The following is a 10,639-nucleotide window of genomic DNA, read 5'->3' on the forward strand; positions in this document are numbered from 1 at the left end:
ACAGGCTGGACAGGCTTCTGCTTTTGGGGAGGACTCAGGAAACTTACAATTATGGTGGAAAGTGAAGGGGAAGCAAGGCATGTCTCACATGGCAGCAGGAGAGAGAGAGCAAAGGGGGAAGTGCCACACACTAAACAACCAGATCTTGTGAGAACTCAATCACTATCACAAGAAGAAGGGGGAGGCCGGACGTGGTGGCTCACATCTGTAATCCCAGCACTTTGGGAAGCTGAGGCGGGTAGATCACCTGAGGTCAGGAGTTCAAGACCAGCCTGGCCAACATGGTGAAACCCCATTTCTACTAAAAATACAAAAAATTAGCTGGGCATGATGGCATGCGCCTGTAATCCCAGCTACTCAGGAGGCTGAGGCAGGAGAATCGCTTGAACCTCAGAGGTGGAGGTTGCAGTGAGCCAAGATTGCACCATTGCACTCCAGCCTCAGCAACAAGAGCAAAACTCTGTCTTGAAAAAAAAAAAATGAACAAGGGGGAAATCCACCCCCATGTTCCAATCACTTCCCAGCAGGCCCCTCCTCCAACGCTGAAGATCATAATTCAACATGAGATTTGCATGGGGTCACAGAGCCAAACCACATCAGGAACATGTGCAAGTTTATTAGGCATTTGGTAAATTTTTGTCCAACCCTTTAATTTTAGCCTTTTGCATGACTGTGTTTTAATCATGTCTCTTGTATGCAGCATAGTGCTGGGCTTTGCTTTATGAGGCAATATTAAACCCTTTTTATTTTATTTATTTTTTTGATTGTATAGGTTTTTATTTTATTACTCACCTAAACATTGCTGACCCATCAATAGAACAGCCCAGCCAGACATACGTAATAGTAATCAAATACATTTGTCTTTTGTACTTTGCTTTTACATGGAAAACATAGCTTTTACATATTTTTAGGTTTTTTTCATTTTTATTTTTCAGTTTCTTTTTTATTTCAATAGGTTTTGGGGAATGGTTGGTGTTTGGTTACATGAAGAAGTTCTGTAGTGGTGACTTCAAAGATTTTGGTGCACCCATCACACAAGCAGTATACCCAATGTGTAGTCTTTTATCCCTACCCCCCTACCCTTTCTTCTCAGTCCCCAAAGTCCATTGTATCATTCTTATGCCTTTGTGTCCTCATAGCTTTGCTTTAATGTTTTATTAAAAATATTATTATTATTATTTTAAATAGATAGAGTTGGTATCTTCCTATGTTGGCCAGGATGGTCTTGAACTCCTGGCCTCAAGCAATCCTCCCACATCAGCCTCCCAAAGTGCTAGGATTATAGGTGTGAGCCACCACATTTGGCTCCCTTTTTCCTTTAATAAGCGAATTAAGCCCATTCGTATTTATTCGCGTTACTGTTAAGCTTGGTCTCAATTCTCTCATTTTATTTTATGTTATAATCACTGTGGTATATATTTTATTTACTGTATTTCTTTCTCTCTCTCTCTCTCTCTTTTTCTTTTTTTGAGACAGAGTCTCACTCTGTCACCCAGACTGGAGTGCAGTGGCGAGATCTTGGCTCAATGCAACTTTGGCCTCCCCGGTTGAAGCGATTCTCCTGCCTCAGCCTCCTGAGTAGCTGGGATTACAGGCACGCACCACTACACCTGGCTAATTTTAAAAATTTTTAGTAGAGACAGGGTTTCGCCATGTTGGCTAGGCTGGTCTTGAACTCCTGACCTCAGCTGATATGCCTGCCTGGGCCTCCCAAAGTGCTGGGATTACAGGCGTGAGCCACTATGCCCGGCCGAAACATGATTGACTTCGATGAGTTGACTTTGTGTCCTGCAGTCTTGCTAAGAGCTTCTTTGTAGATTCCTTAGGATTTTCTACATAGACAATCATATTGTGTGAGAACAGAGACAGTTTTATTTATTCTTTCCAACCAGTTATATGCCTTTTATTTCCTTTTTCTTGCCTGATTTCACTAAAGTAGGACTTTGAATAGGATTTTGATTTCGAATAGGATTCGTAAAAGTGGACGTCTCTTGCCTTTTTCCTGATCTTCTAGGGAAAGCATTCAGTCTTTTTCATTACATATGATGTTAGCTGTAGGTTTTTGGTAGATGATCTTTATCAGGTTAAAGAAGTTTCCTTCTATTCCTACTTTGATGAGAGGTTTTGTCAGGAATGAATGTTGAATTTTGTCAAATGACTTTTCTATATCAATTGATGATTGTGTGGTTTTTCTGTTTTAGTTTCTTAATATGGTGGATTATATTGATTGATTTAAAAATGTTCAGCCAGCCTCACGTTCTCTGGATAAACACCAACTGATCATGCTATGTGTTTACATATGTTGCTTGATTTGATTTGCTAATATTTGTTGAGGCTTTTTACTTCTATGTTTATAAGGGATATTGGACTGCAATTTTCTTTTCTTGTCATGTCTTTGTCTGATTTTGTAATCAGGATAATGATGGCCTCATAAAATGAGAAGTGTCCTTGTCTAGAAAATGGAAGAGGAAAGACTGTATAGAATTGATGTATTCCTTAAATATTTGGTAGAATTTACTAGTGAAACTATCAAGGCCTGGGAATTTCTTTTTTGGAAGGTTTTAAACCACAAGTTCAGTTTATTTAATTGATATTCCATTCAGTTGTCTGTTTCTCTTTGGGTAAGTTTTGGTGTTTTGTATATTTCATGGAATTGGTCCATTTCATCTAAGTTGGTGAATTTATGTGAATAAAAATGTTCGTGGCATTCTCTTACTCTCATTTTAATGTCGTTAGAGGTATATAGTAATATCTCTTTGTTTTCTTTTCTTTTTTTCTTTTTTTTTGAGATGGAGCTTGGCTCACTGCAACCTCCACCTCCCGGGTTCAAGCAATTCTCCTGCCTCAGCCTCCCAAGTGGCTGGGATTACAGGCCTGCACCACCATACCCAGCTCATTTCTTACCTATCACTTTAAACTGGAAATGGCACTGTTACTTGAAAGTGTCTCCCCTCCTACCTTCCAACACCCCACACTTTCCTGGTTCTATTTCTACCATCTAATAATTGTATTAGTCTGTTCTTGCATTGCTATAAAGAAATACCTGAGACTGGGTAACTTATAAAGAAAAGAGATTTAATTGGCTCATGGTTCTGCAGGCTGTACAAAAAGCATAACGGCTTCTGGGGAGGCCTCAGGAAACTTCCAATCCATGGCAGAAGGCAAAGAGGAAGAAGGAAGAAATTTTTTTTTTTTTTTAGACGGAGTTTCACTCTTGTCACCCAGGCTAGAGTGCAAGGGCACGATCTCGGCTCATTGCAACCTCCGCCTCCTGGGTTCAAGTGATTCCTGATTCTCCTGCCTCAGCCTCCTGAGTAGCTGGGATTACAGGTGTGCACCACCATGCCCCGCTAATTTTTGTATTTTAGTAGAAATGGGGTTTCACCATGTTGGCCAGGCTGGTCTCAAACTCCTGACCTCAGGTGATCCACCTACCTCAGTCTCCCAAAGTGCTGGGATTACAGGCGTGAGCCACCGTGCCCGGAGGCATATCTTTGTGTGTGTGTGTGTAAGATAGGATCTCGCTCTGTCACACAGGCTGGAGTGCAGTGGTGTGATCTTGGCTCACTGCAGTCTCAACCTCCTGGGCTCAAGTGATCCTCCTGCCTCAGCCCCTCAAGTAGCTGGGATTATAGACATGCACCACCATGCCCAGCTAATTTTTGTTTGTTTGTTTGTAGAGACAGGATTTCACCATGTTGCCCAGTCTGCTCAAATTCCTGGGCTCAAGCTGTCCACCTGCTTCAGCTTCCCAAAGTGCTGGGATTACAGGCATGAGCCACTGCGCCCGGACAGCAGGCACATCTTACATGGCCAGAGCAGGAGGAATTGGGGCACAGGTGCCACACACTCTTAAACAACCAGATCTCATGAGAACTCACTATGGCGATGACAGCACCAAGGGAGGATGGTGTTAAATCATGAGAAACCACCCCCATGATCCAATCCCCTCCCACCAGGCCCCACCTCCAACACTGGGGATTACAATTCAACATGAGATTTGGGTGGAGACACAGATCCAAACCATATCAGGAATTTACTCTGCAACCTTCATAGCATATTGGTGTTCCCTCAAACTCTGTACTTGGTGCTTCTCTCAAACTGTGCTCCTTCTTAGCTATCCAATTTATTCTGGTGGTTTCAGCTAGTACTGGAATGATCTTACCCCCCAAACCTTGGCCTCTGCTAGCCTTCTCTCTTGAGCTCCAGCTGGACATCTCTGTCAGTATGTTCCATAAACACTCCAAAGTCTATCTCAGTTTTTCTTCCATGAACTCATTGTCTCTCCTGTTTTGCTAATGTCTATACATGGCTCCAGCCTCATCCCAGCTGTTCATGCAGTTATCCTGGGAGCAATACTGTCTCCCTTTCTCCCACAGAACAGCACTTCTGTATCATTTATAAGTATAAATATATTTTGTTTCTTTGTTTTGAGACAGGGTCTCTCTGTCGCCCAGGCTGGAGTGCAGTGACGCAATCTCAGCTCACTGCAACCTCCACCTCCCGGGTTCAAGTGATTCTCCTGCCTCAGGCTCCCAAGTAGCTGGGATGGCAGGCACCTGCCACCATGCCCGGCTAATTTTTTTTTTTTTGTATTTTTAGTAGAGATAGGGTTTCACCATGTTGGCCAGGCTGGTCTCGAACTCCTGACCTCAAGTGATCCGCCTGCCTCGGCCTCCCAAAGTGCTACGATCATAGGCATGAGCCACCATGCCCAGCCAGCTTCTTTTTTTTTTTTTGAGACGGAGTCTTGCTCTGTTGCCCGAGCTGGAGTGCAGTGGTGTGATCTTGGCTCACTGCAACCTCCGCCTCCTGGGTTCAAGTGATTCTCCTGCCTCCGCCTCCTGAGTAGCTGGGACTACAGATGTGCACCACCACACCCAGCTAATTTTTGTATTTTTAGTAGAGATGGGGTTCACCCCATCTCTGTTGGCCAGTCTGGTCTTGAACTCCTGATCTCAGGCAATCCACCCAGCTTGGCCTCCCAAAGTGCTGGGATTACAGGCGTGAGCCACCGCGCCCAGCCTCCTTCTTCATTTTTTAACCCAGCAACTTGCACACGTCCAGGCACATAGTGTTTGTTTTTTCATTGGTTTTCCAGAAATATGCTTACTGAGGCACATAGTGTTAACTCAGGAGTGCAGTGATCTTTTTTTCATGCATTAATAAATTAACACAGTAACAGAGCTGTTCCAGGTACCCCCCACCCCAAAAGTATATCAAGCGAGACACAAAATCAGGTATCCAGTGTAGCTCTATTTAGTCAACTTTCAACAGGGCTCCATTGAGAAGATTAGTTCCTGCACATCTTTTTCATGCATCCCATTCTGATCATTGGAGATTGTTATTACAGGGGTCCGTGTCATTCGAGGATGTGGCTGTGGATTTCACCCGACAGGAGTGGCACAGACTGGACCCTGCTCAGAGGACCATGCACAAGGATGTGATGCTGGAGACCTACAGCAACCTGGCATCTGTGGGTGAGGATGATTGTCCGTGTAACTCCTGAGAGCGTGTGTTTCCTTTCTTGGTTGCTGTAACATGTGCAGCCTTGCGAGGGTTTAATGATATTAAGAGTCACAGATGAGTAATCAGTTTAGGGCACCAGAAAAAATGTGTGCGTTCTTACTTCCCCAATGAAAGGTTTAAATGGGCCCCCTTCCTTGTGCAGCTCATGAAGATGCACCTTCCTCCTCCATCAGAGGCCCTAGAGCTCAGACAACTTGGCCCACGTCCTGTGCCATTTCCCATTAACAGGCCTCTGCGTGGCCAAACCAGAGATGATCTTCAAGTTGGAGCGAGGAGAAGAGCTGTGGATATTAGAGGAGGAATCCTCAGGCCATGGTTACTCAGGTAAGTACTGGGCAAGAACTGGACATATGGAAAATAGGGGAAATAAGAGCCCAGGAATTCAGGTCAAAGGGTATGCTTGTGCAACACTTTCTAGGAATCTCTTTTTAGAGTTCCTAGCTCTTTGAAAATAAGGACGGAAGGTCTACATGCTTCAGATACCAAAGTCACACATCTTAATATCACACTCAAACTTCAGTGCTTTCTCCGGTTTTATCTTGATTTTTTTTTTTTTTGATGGAGTCTCACTCTGTCATCCAGGCTGGAGTGCAGTGGTGCGATCTCAGCTCACCACAACCTCCACCTCCCGGGCTCAAGCGATTCTCCTGCCTCAGCATCCTGAGCAGCTGGGATTACAGGTGCGTGCCACCACGCCTGGCTAATTTTTGTACTTTTAGTAGAGACAGGGTTTCACCATGTTGGCCAGGTTGGTCACGAACTCCTGACCTCAAGTGATCTGCCTGCCTTGGCCTCTCAAAGTGCTGGGATTACAGGTGTGAGCCACCGCACCTAGCCTTTATCTTGATTTTTAAGTTATTTACCACTCTTATTTATCTCTGCCTCATCTTAAACATTTATTCTTTTATTTTTTTGAGACAGAGTGTCTCTCTGTTGCTCAGGCTCGAGTGCAGTGGTGCAATCATGGCTCAACCTCAACTTAAAACCTCACCTGCCCGGTTTAAACGACCTTTCCAGGGCAACCTCCCTAGTAGCTGGGACTACAGGCACGCACCACCATACCTGGCTGATTTTTGTATTATTATTATTTTTTTTTTGTAGAGACAGAATCTCACTATGTTGCCCAGGCTGGTCTTGAACTCCTGGGCTCAAGTGATCCACCTGCCATGGCCTCCCGAAGTGCTAGGGTCAGAGGTATGAGCCACCACACCTGGCAACATTTATTCTTTCTTCCCTCCATTGCCTTGGATGCTTTCTGTTATCAGGCATTCATTCATATATTCATTTAGTCATCCATGAAACTTTAAATGAGTATCAGTTATATGCTGTGTATGTTCTAGGTGTGGGAAACTGGTAGTGAATAAAATAATATCTCTGTTCTCTTGGAGCTTACAATATAGTGGGGGAAAGTGACCAGAAACAAACAAATACATCATATGTTTGATGGTGAAAAGAAAATCAGTGCAAGGTAAGAAGGATAGATACTGATTTTTAGGAAATAGAGGGTTTTTTGTTTGTTTGTTTTTTGATGGAGTCTCACTCTGTCGCCCAGACTGGAGTACAGTGGTGCGATCTCAGCTCACTGTAACCTCCACCTCCTGGGTTCAAGTGATTCTCTTGCCTCAGCCTCCCGAGTAGCTGGGATTACAGGCGGGCACCATTATGGCCAGCTAATTTTTGTATTTTTAGTAGAGATGGAGTTTTGCCATGTTGGGCAGGCTGATCTCAAACTCCTGACCTCAAGTGATCCGCCTGCCTTGGCCTCCCAAAGTGCTGGGATTACAAGCGTGAGCCACTGTGCCTGGCTGGAATAGAGTTTTAAAGGTTGTGTTAAGGAGTTTAATTTTATACTGTGACAAGAGAAGCCAGTTTGGGATTTTACATAAAAGAGTGACATGCTGTGATTTATTTTTAAAGGATCTCTCTCACTGCTGTGTGGCAATGGTTCTGTTGGGGATAATGCCCTCAGGCATGATAATGACCTTCTTCACCATCAGAAGATTCAAACATTGGATCAAAATGTTGAATATAATGGATGCAGGAAAGCCTTCCATGAGAAAACAGGCTTTGTTAGACGTAAAAGAACACCCAGAGGAGATAAAAACTTTGAATGTCATGAATGTGGGAAAGCTTACTGTAGGAAGTCAAACCTTGTTGAACATCTGAGAATACACACAGGAGAGAGACCCTATGAATGCGGTGAATGTGCAAAAACCTTCAGTGCAAGATCATACCTCATTGCTCATCAGAAAACTCACACAGGGGAGAGGCCCTTTGAATGTAATGAATGTGGGAAATCTTTTGGCAGGAAGTCACAACTCATCCTACATACAAGAACACACACTGGAGAGAGACCCTATGAATGTACTGAATGTGGGAAAACCTTTTCTGAGAAGGCAACCCTCACGATTCATCAGAGAACTCACACAGGGGAGAAACCCTATGAATGTAGTGAATGTGGGAAAACATTTCGTGTAAAGATATCCCTTACCCAACACCACAGAACTCATACAGGGGAGAAACCTTATGAATGTGGGGAGTGTGGGAAAAACTTCCGTGCAAAGAAATCCCTAAATCAGCATCAAAGAATTCACACAGGTGAGAAACCCTATGAGTGTGGTGAATGTGGGAAATTCTTCCGAATGAAGATGACTCTCAATAATCATCAAAGAACTCACACAGGTGAAAAGCCCTATCAGTGTAATGAATGTGGGAAATCTTTCAGGGTGCACTCATCTCTTGGGATCCATCAGAGAATTCACACAGGAGAGAAACCTTACGAATGTAATGAGTGTGGTAATGCTTTCTATGTGAAAGCACGCCTAATTGAACATCAGAGGATGCATTCAGGAGAGAAACCCTACGAATGTAGTGAATGTGGGAAAATCTTCAGTATGAAGAAATCCCTTTGTCAACACCGGAGAACTCACACAGGAGAGAAACCTTATGAATGTAGTGAATGTGGAAATGCCTTCTATGTGAAAGTACGCCTCATTGAACATCAGCGAATTCACACAGGAGAGAGACCCTTTGAGTGTCAAGAATGTGGGAAAGCTTTCTGCCGGAAAGCACACCTCACAGAACATCAGAGAACTCACATAGGCTGGTCCTGGCGTTGTACAATGAAGAAAGCCTCTCACTGAAGACTTCCCTCACCATTGGATCAAGCTCCTTGGGGGCATATGATCACCAGGGCACACAGTGTGCCTGTGAAAATTTGGCACCTACATTTGTATCAAAGTATGTCCTGATCCCCTTAGGGGATAGCTCATTGTTTTTATTCAGATTTCCCTAATTAGTGGTGTGTGAACATCTTATCTGTTGATTGGCTATTTGGGTTTTTTCTTCTGTGCATTGACTGTTCATGTCCTCTGCTCATTGTTTTCAAATGGGCTGTTCATCTCTTGCTTTTTGGTTTAAATGTTGTTTTTTAACATATGAGAATATAAAAATCCTTTTTTTTTCAGTCATATGTGTTGCAAATATCTTCTCCCAGACTGTCGTTGGTTTTTTAAATTTTGCCATCTGTTTTCTTCTGCTGAAGTTTTATATTTTATTTATTTATTTTTTATTTTTTTGAGATGGAGTCTCACTCTGTCACCCAGGCTGGAGTGCAATGGCATGACCTCAGCTCATTTCAACCTTCGCCTCCCGGGTTCAAGCGATTCTCCTGCCTCAGTCTCCCAAGTAGCTGGGATTACAGGTGTGCACCACCATGCCTGGCTAATTTTTGTATTTTTAGTAAAGACGGGGTTTCACCATGTTGGCCAGGCTGGTCTCTAACTCCTGACCTCAGGTGATCCACCTGCCTCGGCCTCCAAAAGTGTTGGGATTACAGGTGTGAGCCACCGTGCCCGGCTAAAGTTTTATATTTTAATATTATCAGTTTCAAGGTGATAATATTCACCTATACTTTCCTCTAAAGGTTTTCCTTTCAACATTTAGAATTTTAATCTCCTGTGAGATTTTTTTGTTATAGCATGAAGTGTGCAATACATACTACTATATTGTCTTTATATAATTTTACATAAATGGGCTCACACTGTATTTAAAGTTCTGCAGCTTGCTTTTTTCATGTAATGTTACCTTTCCAAGATCTGTCCTTGTTGATAAGTATAGGTCTGGCTAGTCATTTATCTCTCCATTCCCCTAGTAAAAGACATTTGTATCTTTTTCGAGTTTAGTGTCTAAATCTAGAAGTGGAACTGATGGGTCATAGGATTTAGGCAATGTGCTGGTTATTAAGCTATTGTGTCCGAGCTCCAAACCCACCCTTCTTGACTGTGCTTTGTGACTTTACAAACCACATTTTGGCTTTGTCAACTGCTCCCTGTTGGGCCTTGCCAATAAGAGATACTAGATATAAACTTTGGGGCTGGAGAGGGAAGAAGGGACTTGCTCCTTTTTTTTCTATTCCTATTAGCTTCCTGGTCATTGGAGTGTCCGCTCAGCATTGCTTCTTCACTCAGACACCAGCAGTTCCTTGTCACAGCAGCAGTTTAATCTAGTTTGCAGCTTTCCAGCACTCACAGATGGTAGCCCATCCCCTCTGAGACACAAGCATCAGCTGGCTGGTGTCACCTCCTTAGAGATGTGAATTCTAGTCACATGGGACCCCTCCTCCCCCTTCTAAGTTTTAGTAATTTCAATTTATGGTTGGGTGCAGTGGATCATGCCTGTAATCCCAACACTTTGGGAGGCCAAGGTGGGTGGATTGCTGGAGCCCAGGAGTCAAGACCAGCCTGGGAAATATGGTGAAACTCTACCTCTACAAAAAAAATTCAAAAATCAGCTAGGCATGGGACCACACCTGTGGTCCCAGGTACTTGGGAGTCTGAGACTGGAGGTTGAAGCTGCAGTAAGCCATGATTGTGCCACTGCACTCCAGCCTGGGCAACAGAGCAAGACCCTGTCTCCCAAAAAATTGTCAACTTCTTCCCTTTGTTATTCCAGCCCAGCTGTTTTCTGCAGTTGCTACCTCCCTGATAACTTGAATGTTCTCTGTCTCTTCAGTTATTTGGTTTACAACCTCATAACTAGTTAAAATTATTTATAAGTTCTCTCTGTTAAAATAACTAGTGTGGTTTTTGTCTCCTAGTTGGGCTCTGAT

The 10,639-nt window shown here is 43.5% G+C and overlaps 1 protein-coding gene across 1 annotated transcript in view; it reads left to right on the plus strand.

Moving 5' to 3' along the window:
• The window catches only part of ZNF157 (zinc finger protein 157), a 43,921-nt gene extending 34,345 nt beyond the window's left edge, over positions 1-9,576 (plus strand). Inside the window, exons 2-4 of the mRNA NM_003446.4 lie at positions 5,354-5,480; positions 5,758-5,853; positions 7,447-9,576. Coding sequence (NP_003437.2) covers positions 5,354-5,480; positions 5,758-5,853; positions 7,447-8,672 — 1,449 coding nt within the window. The 3' untranslated portion in view covers positions 8,673-9,576. The remainder of the gene's footprint in view (positions 1-5,353; positions 5,481-5,757; positions 5,854-7,446) is intronic.
• The last annotated feature ends 1,063 nt before the right edge of the window (positions 9,577-10,639 follow it).

Source organism: Homo sapiens, chromosome X (genome assembly GCF_000001405.40).
Source record: "Homo sapiens chromosome X, GRCh38.p14 Primary Assembly".
Taxonomy (NCBI): domain Eukaryota; kingdom Metazoa; phylum Chordata; class Mammalia; order Primates; family Hominidae; genus Homo; species Homo sapiens.